The sequence below is a fragment of the Homo sapiens genome, chromosome 5, assembly GCF_000001405.40.
Source record: "Homo sapiens chromosome 5, GRCh38.p14 Primary Assembly".
NCBI lineage: Eukaryota > Metazoa > Chordata > Mammalia > Primates > Hominidae > Homo > Homo sapiens.
Window position 1 is genome coordinate 15,828,470 of NC_000005.10, and position 18,515 is coordinate 15,846,984.

Below are 18,515 nucleotides of genomic sequence, written 5' to 3' on the forward strand. Positions count from 1 at the left end.
ACCCTAGTTGAATTTTTCAAATATAGCTTTTAAAGGGTTGTTTTCATTAACTGAATAGAACATATAAATCCCCTCCAGCTGGGAGCCTTCTCTATTAATTGAACACCTTCTGAGATGGCTTCTTGACTCTGCACTGTAGGCTCAGGTAACAAGGTGAAAGGCACCTGAAAATGAATCAGGAACTCTGGGAGACCCAAAGATTTAAAGTTCTGGGGATCCAGCCGACCTTCAGTGCCAAGGAAGGACTTTTAGGTTTAGTCTCTCCCTGACTTGCCGTGTTACGTTGGAAAGGCTGAACAGAATTTGGTAGAAATCTTAGATATAGTTGATATCCAGAATATGGCCAGTCTGGATATAATTCATACATAGTGTTTGCCAGATCATTTGTCAACCTACAGGAAACAACTTCAGTGGATCTGAGAAACAGATTGAAGACAGGGCAACAAATGCTAACATTTTTTGATTTCTGAAAAGTTATCTGGCCTTTAGGCTATTGGCATTTTTAATTAAATAGCTGAAGTGAAGCATGCAAAAAGATCAGTGTTAGTAACGCACCCTTAATTTGAATGGTGAAAGATTCATGATCTACTGAAGCCCAGGTCACTGCCCCGCATTATTAGGTTTTTAATATAGCTTGAGTTCTCAGGTTGCATAAACCAGATAATTAAGTGACAATGGATTTTCATATTCTTATTTAATAGTGACCCTGAATTAACCCTTCAACCTTCAGAGTCATCTTAAGTCTTCATTTTTATCCTTGTCTTCTACAGTAATTGTCTTTGTGGTGGTGGTGGTGGTGGTTTTTGCAGCTCATTGGTTACAGCTTCTTTTGTTTTTATTTGTTGTTTGTTTGCCGTTAGTCCCTGGAAATTTGTAACTGCAAAAATACTATAGAATTTTTAAATAAGTCTTCTTATAATTATGAAAAGCTGAAGCTGCTATTGATGTGCATTTTAAAACCATGTTCTATATGTACCCTCTGCATGCAAAATAAAAGTTGAAATTATAAAAACAAACAAAGCATGGTCCAATATCATCTCAAGAAATAAATGGTTAAAAATGAAACAGACTTTTTTTCCATTCCTACATTTTTTCTAATGTTGGGAGTTCCAAGTAACATATGGTAATGCTTTAAGATTCAAAATCATACGCAATTATTTTCATCTTAATAGCATTGGCTTTCTTTGCTTTAAAATTCACCACCCGGCATATAAGTTTGCCTGTCCTCACTCAGTCTGTATTTTCCTAAAAGTGCTCCTGAAAGTAAAGAATATTAATTATCATTCTGCAGTGGGATCATAACTTTGAAAAGTTGAACATCAAGATTTGCTTTTAATATATCACCATTTTGTTATTAAAATAATAAGGTGTGACACTTGGATATTTCCTTTGTAAAGATCCTGAGAAGTGATTGCCTTCAGGTTTTCTGTCTTCTCTAGTACAGTATAATAATTTGGGTAATTTAAAATAAAACTGAAATCCGAATCATTTACATCTTGAGACGTACCCAGAGAATTACATGTTGTGATGACAAATGAGCAAAGAAAAACTCATTTAGCACGTTTTTTGCCCAGATCTCCCCCTGTTTCAAACTCTCCCCAGCAAAGCTGCATTTATTCTGAAGCCACTGAGACTTAAACTTCAGCTCCCCAACCTCATCCCTTCCCCAAACCTGGGTCCTTCCAAGGTCTTGGAAATGTATTCACATAGGTTTTTGAAAACTTAGCAAGGTGGCTGGGCGTGGTGGCTCACACCTGTAACCCCAGCACTTTGGGAGGCCAAGGCGGGCAGATCACTTGAGGTCAGGAGTTCGAGACCAGCCTGGCCCACATGGTAAAACCCCATCTCTACTAAAAATACAAAAATTAACTGGGCATGGTGGCACACGCCTGTAATCCCAGCTACTCAGGAGGCCAAGGCTGGAGAATCACTGGAACCTGGGAGGCAGAGGTTGCAGTGAGCCGAGATCATGCCACTATACTCTAGCCTGGGCGACAGAGTGAGACTCCATCTAAAACACACACACACACACACACACACACACACACACACACACGGAAAATTTTGCAAAGGTTAGACATTTTTAACACAATCAGGTAAGACTTCAATCTCTTTCTTCTCCAACTTTAGAGGAGACCCTCAAGTTGTACAAACCTCAGGCGCCACCAGACTGGGGCCCACCACTGTTCCCAAAGTGCAGCTTATTTTAATTATTACACATATCTTGCATTATTAGTGAGGTTGAACCTTTTCTGATTTATGTTTATTAGTCACATGTTGACCTTGAGGCCAGTTTTGCTCCCTATTGACTGTGCCCAAAGGGAGAGAAGATGGTGGAGGGGAGTGGGGATGCCAGGGCAGCACCCAGTCCCAGCACTCAGGCTCAACTCCAAATCCTCTCCCTGGAGCTGCCCATTGCCCACCCGAGGGCAGATTCCCTCCCCTTGTTCTTTTTACCCTTAGAGTCTAGTTTCCTCCAATTATTACATCTGGAGAGTCTCAAGCAGCAAGGCCTCAGTCCTGGAGTCTAGTTCTTTCTCTGAATCTGAGGACAAAATGTGAAACCCAATGGCGTCCTTATCATCCATGCCTTTGATGAAAATACAGCACTTACAAGGTTAACTGGCATCACTCATGAACTGCTGCTGCTATCATTGTGACTCTTGGGACTGCAGCAGTCTTCTCAAACTGCCTATAACCTCACCCCTTGCATGATGGAATAAGTAGCTTGTGAAGGGAATTTGCGATTGTTTTGTCTCAGGTATCTGAGAAGAGGTGGGAAAGGGAGTAGACAAGGCATTTTTCAGATCTTACGACATGCCAGTTTCTGCATTTTACATGGCACAGTCTCTCCTGATACCTCCAGTGATACTAAGTGGTATTCTCCCTATTTGGGGAAGACCTGGAACAGGAGGCAAACCCAGGGCACACTGACCGCATAGCCGAGGACCTGGCCTGGTGGTCTCCAAAGTGCCATTCACACAACAGCTAGCTAGCCTCACAGGGCGTCAGTATGATTCCCGGGAAAGAGGTGTCTGTGTTTAATGGATTTCTATGGTCCAGTGCTGTGGGGAAACACTAGGACATGACCCTGTTAAGCACAGAACTCTTATAAAAGCTTTAATTGGCTAATGTGCAGGGTGAGCCAAGAGGTCTGTTTTCCACAGACTGTGTTCTGTGAAACGCACTCTGGGAAACATTGTTGGAGAACTCCAGGCTGCTCTCATGGAGCATGGAGAGAAAATTCCCCTTTTCAGAAAGTGGTGTAAATTCTGGAGGGATAGTGGAGGGGAGGGAAGGGGCAGGATATGAGAAGGGGACATGGACAGCATCTTTTCTTTCGGAATGAAGACAATAGACACCTATCTGCACCCATGGCAGCCCCAGGTTGTGACTTGCCCCTTTGTAAAACCACCATGCCCTCCCATTGCCCATGGCCCTTGCTCTGTCCACACCCCTCAAGCCCTCTTCCAAGGATGGGAAGTCCTTCCCATCGCTGGCCTTCAGGGTAAGAAAGCAGCCACTGGTCTTAACTGCTTCCTCCTGATCTCCAGCATTTGTGCTATAAACTCTCTACTCTAAATACTTTATTTAGACTCTGGTTAATGGAACCTACACATCTGGGAAGTCCCGGACCTTTCTAATGAATTTAGATTATTCTGGCTTTAAAGAGTCTTGTTTCTACTAAGACTTTCGAGAGCTTGTTTTGAAGCTCTCCTTGTATCACCCTTTCCCTGAGGGCAGTACATGGAGGAAGCTATTTATGCTGCCTCAGTAGCAGAGAAAAAAGATATAGAAGCAAGTAATCTTTGCGAATAGCAGCCTTGTAATATCATGAAATATTATTTTGTTACATCTGTTTAAAGCTTGTTTTTACAAATCCTAGAAATGACACTCACTAGGGAATAAATCAAGCAAGGGAGTGATTTGTTCCTTAACAAATACCAGTTTGTCAGACCTCCGTGTGAAGTTATATATTCAAAGGTAACAGACTGTGGAATAATTACCAGAAATGTGACTAAAAACATCTTGATTTCATCTCAGGTTCAACTGAACCTTCTTAATACAAGGCATTTGAGTTAACCATCTCGAAAACAGCTAGTTTAAGGAGGTTTTGCAAGTGGCTATCAGTAGAAGAAGGAAAGCTGATGCAGACACTTTGGTGACAAACAACATTGAGTTTGTAGAAACTCTCTTTATCCAAAGACAGAGAGGAACCAAGGCAATAAGAGATCTCAGAGGGCTTCATTCTGCAGGTCGGGATGATTGAGACAGAAATTCAAAGAGAGCCTTTGTCTTAGTCCTTTTGGGCTGCCTATAACAAAATACCATAAACTAGGTGGCTTTTTGATATGATTTGGCTGTGTCCCCACCCAAATCTCATCTTAAATTGTAGCTCCTACAATTCCCACATGTTGTGGAAAGGACCCGGTGGGAGGTAATTTAACCATAGGGGCGGGTCTTTCCCATGCTATTCTCATGATAGTGAATAAGCCTCATGATATCTGATGGTTTTATAAAGGGCAGTTTTCCTGCACAAGTTCTCTTCTCTTGTCTGCCCTCATATGAGACATGGCTTTCACCTTCCACCATGATTGTGAAGCCTCCCCAGCCATGTGGAACTGTGAATTGATTAAACCTCTTTCTTTTGTAAATTGCGTCAGTCTCGGGTATGTCTTTATCAGCAGAATGAAAGCGGACTAATACACTTATAAACAACAGAAATCTACTTCTTATAGTTCTGGAAGGTGGGGAGTCCATGATCAAGGTCCCAGTAGGGCTCAGTCTCTGGCTGAGAGATGGCACCTTCTTGCTGTGTCCTCACATGGTGGAAGGACAGGAAAGCTCTCTGGGGTCTCTTTGATAAGGGCACTCGTCTCATTCATGAGGTCAGAGCCCTCATAACCTAATCACTTTCCAAAGGCACCATTTTCTAATACCATCACCGATTAGTGATGGTATTAGATTAGTGAAATTTCAACATATGAATTTTATGGGGACACAAACAGTGAGATTAGAGCAGTCCCAGAGTGCGTTATTTACTCAGCTTTGCTGAGGCAGAACAGCTCCAGTATCTTCCCTGATGATTTAATTTCAGCAAACATGGAACAAGACTCTCCTCTCTAAAGCAATAGTCACACAAGACAAGTCTTTCCAGATTTACCCTCAACCTTGTTATTAGCTGATGGGGCAAGGCTTTGCCGTTTTTCTGTGTGATGCACGGAGACCCATATTCAAGCTAAGAGAGGTTGTAACACTGGAAGGATGCTTGTTTGTCTTTCTATCCAGGTTGGGAATATCACCTTCAGTCCATCACTTTCCCTTTCTTGCACTGGCTTTTCAGTACTGTTTAAGAGGAAGGGCATGGACATTCTAAAATTTTCGTGATGATATTGACTACTTTGACAAAAATAAGCATTTTCATTTGAAACACATATTTAAGTAACAATTTTATATAGGGAAGATCTGATTTCTACTCTTAGAATATAACAGTCATAAGAAGTTGCATCAGAAACATCCAGGTGCTCTTTTTACCATCTAGGCAATTGTGTAAACTATAAAATGTTGAACTATAGAGCCATCTGTAAATAAAACATTATTGTATTTGTTAGTGTATTTTCTTTTTCCAGAAAAATGCTTACCAGGAGTTAAGAAAAGTTATCCAAAACTTGGAAATTAGGCAAACAGAGGGCAGCATGTCATTTCAATATCATATAGGTGGAACACTGGTTAACAAATCCACCTAAGGGCTGTACGCTTATCTAGGGAACGTAACTTTGTTTTAATCACCAATTACTATTAACTGAAAGCCTAGATTATGTGATGTTACATGTTAATATGCAGATTTTTGTCCAATTTTGTATCTCACCCAGAAATCTTATTCCAAATTTTTTTCTTCTCTGCCTATATATTCTTCTTATGCACTTTTGAATCAGCATATTCATCTGGTTGGCTCCCTCATTAAGGTGTTAAAGAGTATTTTTACACCAGTTTTCTCTATTTATATAAGGGTCATGTTTTTAAACTTTGAAAATTATTCTTTGGCATAGGTAGCTTTCTTTTTTTCAGTGGATCTCCATCTTCCATGAAAGACACATACATAAAAGGGATAAAAGTATTGTTTCTCTGAACCCGATAGAGGAGAAGCTCTCCAGACAATCTTAAATGCACATCTTTCTGATTATAAATCCCGTGGCCTTAACTGGCTTCTCTTCAAGAAGTTCATATCACAACTCTGCCACGTAGAAGCTGTGTGAACCTGACAAAGTTCTTAATGCTTTCATGCTCTCATTTCCTTTTCTTTCAGCATGCCTGTTTTGTAGCCTTGAGGCTGAAAACCTAGACTTCTGGGAGTATGCAGATTACAGAAGTGCTCCTTTCTCAGTAAGATTTACATCCTGCAAATGGTATTGTTAAAGACCTAAGTAGGCAACAAAAAATTTAGCAAATTCATTGGTTGCTGAATTGCTTATCCTTTAATTCCAGAAGCTATGTGTTAATCACATATCAGTAGGAAATCCTTCCAAGTAATGAGCTGGGCTACTCTTGTAAACTACAGTTTCATATTTTAATGGTTACTTTTGCTTAGTAATCAAGTCATGACTTATCAGGGATATACACCATTAGCTTCTTGCCAATGTAAATAGTGGGTGATTTGTGAATCATTGCTCTGCCCTTTTAGTAAATATTCTGATGAATGCTATAATTTTTAAGGAACTCAGCATGAATAACCACTCTTGGCTATCACCAGCAGGTTTTGAACTGAGGAAAGAAATGAAATGGCCGGTACTTTAACTCCATTTCTTATGGCATTTTTCTTCTATGTAGCACCAATGCAAAATGCAAGAAGAAATTAAGAGAAGAAAGTGGTCTGATAATTAGACCTTGAATGAGAAAAACAAAATCTTATTTAGAATTATAATATGAAATTATACATTATTATGCAATTATAATATGCGATAGAATTTTTAAGAACCAATATTAGAATGGAACCATTAGAATCATGTTTAGAAAGGTCACAGAGGGCAGAGCAGAGTGACTTTTTTTGAATGTCTACTAAGCGTTTTACTTGACACATGCTTCTCAGCTTCACAGTATCCTGGAAGAGTGGATATTACTTTAAAATATGAGAAATAGGGGCCTGGAGAATGTAAGTGACTTTCTGAGAGTCACGCAGTATAGAACATGAAGGCCATCTGATGCAGGTCTGACTCTAAAGCTGGGCATCTCCTATTACCACTCAAGAAAATAACACTGGACAGTGACTGCAATGGAATCCCAAGCATTTCTGTTACAGGACAAAAATCATCTTCATGTGCTTTTGCTTTGCATAAGAGGCACTGTCACTTGTGTTAGGACTTTCTGTTAAGTTGTAGTCCTTTGAAGTTCTCAAGTAACTAAAAAAACTATATGTCTTGTGGCATCCTGGGTAATTTTATGATCTGCAGGAAGCTAAAGAACTCTGGGCAGGATTTTAGACACAGGAGTACCTCCAGCCTGGTCAAAATAATTTATTTTTCCACTAATACTTAGATAGGTTATAGGAACCCTCCTCCTTCCCAATAACATTTATTTGCTTTTTTACTCATTCAAAAAGTAGAATTCCTGGGCACTGTCCTAGATGTCGAGGATGTCAGGGTAAACAAAATTCAGATGGTCTCTGCCTTTCATGGTTCTTGTATCTTATCATTGTACCATATTCTATCAGGTTCCTTCATTCACTCTTATTCATCTGTCAAATACTTATTGTACACTTACTATGTGCCAGAAATTGTTTTGAAAGCTTTGGGATATGTCAGTCAACAAAAGAAAGATTTCTGCTTTTCTGGGCTCTAACGAAGGAAGACGGACAATAAGAAACATGAAAAATGAGACAAATTATATAGTATTTTGAAAGGTGATGAGAGCTATACAGAACAAAAAGAAAAAGAAAAACTAGATCATGTTAAGAGAGATTGGGAAGATCAGGGTAGCAGGGAAACAGTTTACAGTTTGAAATAAGATGCCCTAGGTAAACCTCATCAGGAAGGTAATGTTGGAATAAAGATTTGCATGAGGTGAGGGAGTGAGCCGTGTAGATATTTGTGATCAGAACAGTCTAGACAGGTAGTGTCAAGCTTCTAGGTGGGAGTGTGCCTCGTCTGTTTGAAGAACAGTGAGGAGCAATTCACTAGAACAAGTTGGAAAAGAACAGTAACAAGAACTGAGTTCGGGAGGCAATAGGAGGCCAGAATGTGTGATGCAGTATGCCCCATTTAGTCAGAGGTACTCTTCAAGTTTAGGAGCAGAGGGTAATGTGACTGGCCTGTGTCAGGTTTCAGCCTCCTGTCAACAAAATGCTGTGGCCATCCACATCATATATTATGATGGAACCTTAGTGACAAACCTTATCAAGAGAAATGGGATAAATTAGCCATCAGCTGTGTCGTCACCCTTTCTCCAGGCAAGACCCCTCTTGTTAGCTGTTGGCATCTTCTGCTACTTCACTTATAAGTAAGCAGTGAAGCATCCAGACTTTGTGTTTTTAGTCCCCTCCCTCGTGTCCAGCAGACAAATATCCAGAATTAGATAGAATTACATAGTATATGGCTGAAATATTGTGTCACTCATTAATCTATGACAGCAAGATCCCTAATACTTTAGTGACAAGTCTAGAGCACTTGCCCAATTCAGACTAAAGCCATTATAACACTCAAATGTGAAAAGCCAACATTAATTGAAATGTAAATGATAGTCTCTCATGAAGTTGGATACTTGCTTTATATTAGAAACTTAAAGAGAATCTTAATCCTTTCATAAAGCAGGTAAATACTTTTAATTGATCTTTAACTGCATATATAGGATAAAATTAAACATGACACTTGTTCTTTCAAAGTTCATAGAAGAAATTCTAAAGCATTTTAAGGGATCTGAGCCATACAGTTTTTCCCATATGTAGCTGACATACCATCAAGAGGAAAAAAAGCAACCATAAATATGCCTTATTTAGGCTCTAAAGAGCTAATCAGAGACTACAGTTAAGTTTAGTGATGATAAACTTGTTTTAACAAGACATTTATGTCTGGTTACAATTGGCATTTAGGAAAAGCGTGCTTAGATTGAATCCAGCAAAGTAAAATTGAGCCAAATTCTAGATAGAGCTCATTTAGACCACCCTCTGTAGATAATTTATTATCTAATCACTTCCCATTTAAAAAAATTCTTAGTATGTTTAGTGTTAAGATATTATGAGAGCCAAGGATGGCAGCCAGAGGTCAAGTTAGTCAAAGACCATGAACATAGTGCATTGTCCTTGAAAATAACTTGGTGGAGAGAAAGGAATGTGAGGTCTGCATCTGACAGCTTCAGTTCTCTGGGCTCGTTGAAACTCTGTTCTCAGTGGTCATTTATGTTTCTCTCAGATCAGCAGTAGCATTTATTTTTAGAGAGAGTTTTGAAACTTAATCACTCAGCACAATACAGAACTATAAATGGATAAATAAGTTTTGTTCAGGAGCAAAAGAGATATAATCATTTCTCCTGACATTTTGAAGCTGCTTCTGTGGAGTTGGGTTGTTAGGCCATGGAGCAAGAGGACTGTTGTCTGGTGTGGTGTCATACTGCAGGACTGTCCCCTTACTCTAGTCAGAGTTCAGTATGTTGGTGTCCAAGTGGGAGATGTGGATGGATGAGGCTCCAGGTTGTCCCAGGCAGCTCAGTCCTCTGTTTTAGTCCATTCAGGCTGCTATAACAAAGTGCCATATAAGCCACAAGATGGCTGGCTTATAAACAACAGAAATTTACATTGTACAGTTCTAGAGGCTGGAGAACCCTAGATTGAAGCGTTGGCAGGTTCAGTGCCTAGTAACAGCTCAATTCCTCATAGATGGCCATCATCTCATTGTGTCCTCATATTGTGGAAGATGCGAGGGGTCTCTTTTATAAGAGCACTAATCCCACTCATGAGTGCTCCACCCTCATGACCTAATCACCTCCCAGGCACCCCACCTCCTAATGCCATAACATTGGGGGTTAGGATTTCAACATAAGAATTTTTGTGGTAACACAACATTCAGTCTATAGCACCACATTAGGGATTTAGATAAGCACACCCTAGACGGATATTGAGCATCCTCGTTGCTGAATGTAAAAGATCTGCAAGGATTTGTTTCTTTATATCAATGCATATTTCAGCTGTATTTGGCACTGATGACCCTACCTCCTCCTTCTTTTACCCTTGATTTCTTGGTCTTTCTCTACTCCCACGACTAAGGCTGTCTTCCTTTATTGACATCTCTTCCTCCTTAACTACCCATTCAAAATGCTCTTCTTCCCTGGGGAGTCTCCCTGGGCCCTGTGTTTATCTCACACATCCCTTTCTAGTGCACACTGAGAGTTTGAACTACTTGAAAATTAATGACTTTAAAGTTGTTATCTTTACATTATATTTTGCCCTAAATTCTAAGTATGGCTCTATCTATAGATGTATTTATAACAGTAACTGCCACTAAATTACTATAATTATGTATTTGGTTTTGCTTGTTTGTTTTTAAAACCTTTTCATGCATTGCAGTTCCACTCAAGTTTCCTCTGCTATGGACTGCTTCTTCATACACTTTACCCATTTTTCTGTTGGGTCATCTTTTTTTTTTTTCCAATTTGTAGGAATCCTACTGTTAGTACTTAGATTCTGAGTACTAATTTTTTGACTATCATACAATTTTCTAATTTCTTTCTCCTTTTCATAACTTATCTTTCATTCGTGTTCTTTGTCATACAAAGATTTTAATTTTCATGTAGTCAAATTTATCTATCATTTTGTGATTTCTGCTTTTTGTGTTCCTTTTAAAAATAATTCTCTCCCCTGACATCAAGGAGACACTCTCAAGTATTTTATTCTAAAATTATAAAATTTTGTTCTTTGTATTTAGGTCTTTAGTCTATTTAGAGTTTATTCATTGTACGATAAAATATAGCAATCTATCTGATTTTTTTTATATGGGGAACCAGATTGTCATTACTAAATATTGCATATATCTTTTTTTCCATTGAATTCTAGTGCTTCTTTTATTTTATTCCAAACTTCTGTATGTGCCCTGATCAATGTATTGGTTCATTCTAATGAATGGTGAAATGAATATTTAATGCACTAAGAACAACCAAATGGATATTTTTTGTTGTTGATATTTGTTCTCTTTTATTTATTTACTAACAAAATAGTAATAAAGGCGTTACATTTAGGCTACACTAGATTTAATATTTATTTAATAAGATCATTTCTCTTATTTCTCTTCCTCCTCCTTTTCTTTTTCTCCTCTTCCTCTTCCTCTTACTCCTACCTCTCCTCCCTGTCCTTCTTTTTCTCCCAATGCTCAAGTAGATCCAAGCCCCCCACTTTTGGAAGGAGAGTTGCAGTGTTTTACCCCAACAGGGTGACTGCTTAATAAAAGAAGAAAAATCTGCTTACTCTTTTACAACTAAATGGTTACATTGATTACATTTAGTTACAACTTTTATTTTTTTACTTGGGCTATGAATAAACCATTTTTGTCCAGAGTAAAATATAAAATTTCTGTAGGATATCTTCTGTCTTTATGTCCTTCTCTTGTTGCATTTTTATAAATTATTTCTTAGGCTGAAATGACCTAAGCTTTCAAGTACATGCTGTAGGAGCAATACTGACATTTGTTCCATCCCAGTCTTTCCTCGGAGAAAGTGTCACAATGTAAATATCCTAGAAGACCTCAGGCTGCAAAGGAAAAACCTTCAAGTGTGCCTTGAAAAGTCTTTTTTATGTGCTTTTTATTCTGTCTCACTGATCTATTTTTCTATCCCTCTGCCAATATCACACAGTCTTATTTACTCAAACTCAGTAGTAAGTTATGACACCTGTTAGTAAAAACCCCTCCTCCTCATTCTTTTCCAAGTTAAGAATAGAGCTTAGCTTTACTCTTTCATATGAATTTTGGAATCAGTTTGTCAAGTTCCACAGATAATTTCATTGGGATTTTGATTTGTGGTCAGTTGAATTTATGGAATAATTTGGAGAAGATTAACACCATTATGATATTGAACATTTTCTGCCTCGAATATGATAAATATTGCTATTTAATAATAGATTATTGACCGGGCACAGTGGCCTGTAATCCCAGCACTTTGGGAGGCCGAGCCAGGTGGATCACGAGGTCAAGGGATGGAGACCATCCTGGCCAGCGTGGTGAAACCCCGTCTCTACTAAAAATACAAAAATTAGCTGGGCACGGTGGCACGCGCTTGTAGTCTCAGCTACTTGGGAGGCTGAGGCAGGAGAATCGCTTGAACCCAGGAGGTGGACGTTGCAGTAAGCTGAGATCACGCCACTGCACTCCAGCCTGGCAACAGAGCAAGACTCTGTCTCAAAAAAAAAAAAAAAAAAAAAAGTTATAGATTGTTAAGTAACATTTTGTAATATTTTTGATATAGATACTCATAGGCATTTAGTAAATTTTATTATCATGTGTTTATACTTTTTATCACACTTACTAGTCAATTAAGGCCTATAGCAATGTCACTGGCTTTTGTGTGTCTTGTATCTGACAACACTATAGAACTTTCCCATTAGTTCCAAAAGTTTATCTATAGTTACCCTTGAAATTTTTTTGTGTAGAGTAATGACATTTATCAGTTAGTATAACTTTGCTCTTTTTTTCCCAATTCTTATACTATTAACTTCTTTTTTTCTTGTTTTTGTTTGTTTTGCTGGTTGGTTTTTTTGGTAGTGGTTGGAATTTCTAGTATAATGTTGAATAGTCAGAATGATATGAGAATCATTTTTTGTTTCTGGTTCATAGAAATGCCAAAGTTTCCCTATTAAATTTGACCTATGTTAGCAGTTGGGAATAAATCTCAGTTTTAAAATGTCCCTCCATTTATAGTTTGCTAAGAGTTTCTATTATAAATGAGTGTTTTATAATAGAATAATGAAATAAAAAACATAAATAGAAAAAAATGAATTTTGTTGAATCTTTCAGCAGAATCCAGAAAGATGTTCATTTTTTTTTTCTCATTTTAACCTGGTAACCTGGTAGCTTGCAGTGGTCGATTTCTGATGTTGAACCACCTTCTTGCATTCCTGAAATATGTCCCAACATCATGATATATTAAAGTTTGTATCCCTTGCTTGAACTACTTTGTATTTTACAGAGTAAAATACATTTTCCCTATGAGGGAAAAATGGTTTCCTGGGCCAGGTCCAGGGACCCCTTGCTGTGTGCAGCCTAGGGACTTGGTGCCCAGTGTCCCAGCCACTCCAGCTGTAGCTGAAAGGGGCCAATGTAAGGCTGGGGCTGTGGCTTCAGAGGAGGCAAGCCCCAAGCCTTTGCAGCTTCCACATGGTGTTGGTCCTGCAGGTGCACACATATCAAGAATTGAGGTTTGGGAACCTTTGTCTAGATTTCAGAGGATGTATGGAAACACCTGGATGTCCAGGCAGAGGTCTGTTTCAGGGGCGGAGCCCTCATAGAGAACCTCTGCTAGGGCAGTGCAGAAGGGAAATGTGGGATTGGAGACCCAACACCACATCCCCACTGGGGCACTGCTTAGTGGAGCTGTGATAAGAGGGAAACCATCCTCCAGAACCCAGAGTGGTAGATCCACCAACAGCTTGCACCGTGTGCCTGGAAAAGCCACAGACACTCAACGCCATCAGTGAAAGCAGCTGGGAGGGGGGCTGAACCCTGCAAAACCACAGGGACCAATCTGCCCAAGGTTGTGGCAGCCCACCTCTTGCATCAGCATGACCTGGATGTGGGATATAGAGTCAAAGGAGATCATTTTGGAACTTGAAGATTTAATGACTGCCCTATTGGACATCAGACTTGCATGGGACCTATAGCCGCTTCATTTTGGCCAATTTCTTCCATTTGGAAAGGGCGTATTCACCCAATACCTGTACCCACATTGTACGTGGGAAGTAACTAACTTTCTTTCGAATTTACAGGCTCATAGGTGGAAGGGACTTGCCTTGTCTCAGATGAGACTTTTGAGTTAATGCTGAAATGAGTTAAGACTTTGGGTGACTGTTGGGAAGGCATGATTGGTTTTGAAATGTGAGGACATGAGATTTGGGAGGGTCCCAGGGTGTAATGATATGGTTTGGATGTGTCCCCACCCAAATCTCACCTTGAACTGTAATAATGCCCTCATGTTAAGGGTGGGGCCAGGTGGAGATAATAGAATCATGGAGGCAGTTTCCTCCATATTGTTCTCATTGTAGTGATTAAATCTCACAATATCTGATGGTTTTATAAATAGAAGTTCCCCTGCACAAGCTCTTGTTTGCCACTATGTAAGACGTTATTTTGCTCATTTGCCTTCCACCATGATTGTGAGGCCTCCCAGCTACGTGGAACTGTGAGTCAATTAAATCTCCTTTCTTTATAAATTTAAATTACCCAGTCTTGATTATGTCTTTTTTAGCAGGAGGAGAACAGAATAATACAAAGCTGTACCACATTTTATTACTACCTATCATTGGCAAAGTTTTACCTTTGCTACAAATATAAGGTTATATACAAATGTACAAATACGAGGTTGTATACAAATAACAGGTTATATTTTGAAACATCTTTATATCAGGCTTATGTTTTTAGGTGATTCTCTATATAATTTTCAGGAAATTTCTATCTCTCTTGTTTATTTCCTCAAATTTTCTACATATGTATAGTGTTAAGATATTTGTATATGCTAATATAAAATGATGAGCATATAAGCTTTTGCCTTTGTCAAAGTGTATTCTTCTCTTCTTCTAACATACACAGTATAAAATAAACTCCCATTTTTCTCTCCTTATTACCCCCTCTGGTTCTTCATAACCCTTTCACCACAGCACACACACACATTTGCTTATTGGCGTGTAGTCTTTCTGGCTTTCCTGTCTAAATGAAAGCTTCACAAGGTCATAGATTTCACCTCTGTTTTTCACTGCTGTATTCCTGCCACACAGTATGAATTTAGTAAATATTCGAATGAATAAAATTGAAAATATGAATCTTTCCTTCTGTTTGGTTGAGTGATCATGGAATTAAAACTATGCATGAAGCCCCATAGTCTAAGAATGCAAAGAACAGTAGTGTTCAGAAGACGAATAATAAATGTCCATAAATTGCTCTTCTCAAATTGCAATATCTGATGAATGCAGTTTAAAAGAGGACTTTAAAATCTCTAAAATTTCTAAGAATTTGAGACATATTGCAAATTACTGAATAATTGTGATTTTATTGTCAGGTTTCATTGAAATTTTAAAATCTTAAAGCTAATTTAAAACCCAAGAAGGTGTCAGATGAATAATCTTTAATGAAGAATCTACACACAGGAGCAGCAATATAGTTCCTAAATATATAGCTTAATATGTGTATTAAGCTATACTATATATATTTAAGCTTTATATTTACATATAAAGCTATATATTTAGAAACTATATATAGTATAGAATATATAGTTTCTAAATATATATGTATAGTTTCTAAAGATTAAGCTAAAAAGCTTAGTAACTACATCTCTAGAGAAGTGCCTTTTTTTTAAGTTAAAAGCAAAAACAAAAATCTTCATTCCTTTGATGCATCTATTCTTGCCAGTAACTGCCTGAAGACGCTACTCCCAACTGTGGCAATTTAGCACAGGAGGGGGGACACACTAAGAAGGTGGGAAATTTGGATGTCTGCTTTTTTAGCAGGGGAAGGAAAAGCAATTGCCAGTAGAAGCATTTAATTGCATACAGATTGGCCTTTCATTTTGCTTCAATCTTTTCCATTCAAGTGCCAGGGAAGGGGAAGTATTACCTCCACTGCTTACATCGGAGGTCTGCTTCCACTTAGCTGCTGAAGCAAGCCTCTCCTTCTTTCCAGAGATGCCCCCCGTGAAAACCCACTGTGAGAGGAGTTGGGCTTGAGTGGCTCCAAATACACAGCAGTAATATTCTGAAGCCTGTCCTGTTCCTAATCCTGCACGGCAGCTCTTGGCACTGCTGGACAGTTCCCCAGGCTTCTTTCCAATTCTTCCTGTGGAGCAGGGAAAGAAAACCAGGTGGGGTGGCCAGGCCATCTCTCATGATCGGTAGAGCATAGCTGAGTATAGAGTATGCAGGATAATGCAGCTACATGAAGATGAATGGTCAGAAGTCAGGAAGGATTATGGGGCCACAGCCCCCAGTGTCTTACCCCTCTGGAGAGCATCACTCAAACCCAAGAGGAGGATACAGGTGGGAGTGTGAGAGAAAACCCAACACTATGAAGGGAGTGTCTACCTTAGGAAACATGATAGAGCCTCAGGGAGGAAGCCAAGGCAGGTGTGCTTGACAGGGAACCCATGCTTCCACAGAAAAAAAAAATGACAATATTTCTGTACAAGGGATAAATCTCAATCATTCACAGACCACTCCTGCATCCTCTCCCTAAAAACAGACTTCAGAAATAGCTAAGAGTCATGAATATAAGAAAGCTCAATGGCCAAGCACCCTATAAGAAACAACTTTTCCTTAAGCCACTGTGGCCTCCAAATCTGTCCTTCTTTGCATAGGACACGTCTCAGCCTCCAGCTTAGCCATCGGCCTTCTGTGCTGTGCTTCCAGACATGAAGCCATCCTGCAGCCTGGGACTGCTTCCCACTTTCTCTTCTGCCTTGCACAAGTTAGTACCCAATTGTGTTGATCCCTCTGATTTAACTGCTGGGTGAAAATTCTTCCTTCTGAGAAATGGTTTCTTTCAACTTGAGGAAGCACACATTTGGACAATTTCCTTATGCTGGTAATGGTTATTTCTGTGTACTCTTCTGATGCGGTGAATTGACTGTTTCTAGTTTGTCTTTCTGCACATACCAGCCAAATACAACTTGAATGCATTCAATAAGTTCCCATTGATGGGTGACATGTAAAATAGATGTTCTGATAGGATTTTAAGTGTCAAGGTTATAGTTCCCCTTTACATACTAACCAACCCCTGACCCCTAGCCAAGTAACATACTTTTACCTCCTCTTACAAGCTGAGAAAATTAGGACTAACCCATCTAGTATAAATAATTGGAAGGAGCTCATATTGCTAAATAAATATCTGTTAAATATTAAAATGATAATATTCAAATAATTAAGATACAGCAAAATGCCATGTTTCATATTAAAAGTAGATTAAACATTATATCATTACTTAACTTCTTTTTAATGATAAAATCAAAGATTATTTATTACAAAATTGAATTTAAAAATACAGAGGCTGGGTGTGGTGGCTCATGCCTGTAATCCCAGCACTTTGGGAGGCCAAGGTGGGTGGATCATGAGGTCAGGAGATCGAGACCATCCTGGCTAACACGGTGAAACCCCGTCTCTAGTAAAAATACAAAAAATTAGCCGGGCGTGGTGGCGGGTGCCTGGAGTCCCAGCTACTCGGGAGGCTGAGGCAGGAGAATGGCGTGAACCCCAGGAGGCGGAGCTTGCAATGAGCCGAGATTGCACCACTGCACTCCAGCCTGGGCAACAGAGCGAGACTCCGTCTCAAAAAATAAAAATAAAAATACATAAATGAATAAAGTAAAAAGTCAAAGCCATCTGCCTAGTCCAGTTCTCCAAATATATCCACTATGGTGTGTGGATATATCTTGGCATGTGCCATTCTGGACATTTTTAAATGAATACACAATTATTCAAATATGTAGATAACAAACATTTGATCAAGCAGGGTATCACAATGAATGAATCCTTTTTTATAACTTGTTTTTCTACTGATTGTAATAGAGTTCTTCTTTCCATATCCATAGCTTATAAATTCATCTCATCTTCTAATGTTTGAAGAGTATTAATACATGTCAGTTTTTTAACAAATTAATGGAGTTTACATTGTTTTTATTTCACTATTATATATTTGTTATAAAAATCTCTCCATGGCAAAAAGAGTGAAAGAAATATAAGTCACAAAATCTCTTAAATATGTGAACCGAGGCACAATAAAATTTTCAAGAGTTTCTTTGAGCAAACAGCAATTTATGAATCAGGTAGCTCCAAGCCAGAAGATGTTCTGGAGTTTCACCAAGAGAATGCAAGGGTAGGGGGACTTTTATATGATAACCTGCAAAGGAAAGCCAAGAAAATATTTGATTGGTTACAATTATACCGTTGTCTTATTTGGTCCATCTTGTTGCAAAGTCCCTAGTTATACAGGTTGTTGGCTGCTTCTGACTGGTTGAGCTTAAAATCTGATTTTTCTTTAAAAGTGGCATTAATGAGACACAGCTCAAGTTACATTCTTGGGAGAGAGAGAAAGAGAAGAGAGAATAGTTGTAACAGATGAAAAAAGAGAAGGTTGTCATCTGTTATATACAGACAGCTTTTATCAGTAAAAACAAAATAAATGACCATTTAAAATGAAAGCAAATGATGTAAAAAGTTAATTCACAGATTTGTGAACACATGAAATTATGCTCAATCTTTTTTTCAAAGATATAGAAATTAAAAATTATAAGAAAAAAATGTTCTACCAGATTGGGTGGAAAATTAAAGAACCAATAATCTT

The 18,515-nt window shown here is 38.7% G+C and overlaps 1 protein-coding gene and 1 long non-coding RNA gene across 6 annotated transcripts in view; one reads left to right on the forward strand and one right to left on the reverse strand.

Moving 5' to 3' along the window:
• FBXL7 (F-box and leucine rich repeat protein 7) overlaps window positions 1–18,515 on the forward strand; it is a 439,614-nt gene that overhangs the window by 328,290 nt on the left and 92,809 nt on the right. The window contains exon 2 of one of the 5 annotated variants that reach the window (XM_011513998.2): window positions 6,308–6,384. The exons of the other annotated variants lie outside the window; for them this stretch is intronic. The gene's annotated coding sequence lies outside the window, so the exon portion shown is untranslated. The remainder of the gene's footprint in view (window positions 1–6,307; window positions 6,385–18,515) is intronic. 5 annotated transcript variants of the gene reach the window in all.
• The window catches only part of LOC107986343 (uncharacterized), a 47,786-nt gene continuing 47,221 nt past the window's right edge, over window positions 17,951–18,515 (reverse strand). The window contains exon 7 of the long non-coding RNA XR_007058705.1: window positions 17,951–18,071. This is a non-coding gene — a long non-coding RNA (uncharacterized LOC107986343). The remainder of the gene's footprint in view (window positions 18,072–18,515) is intronic.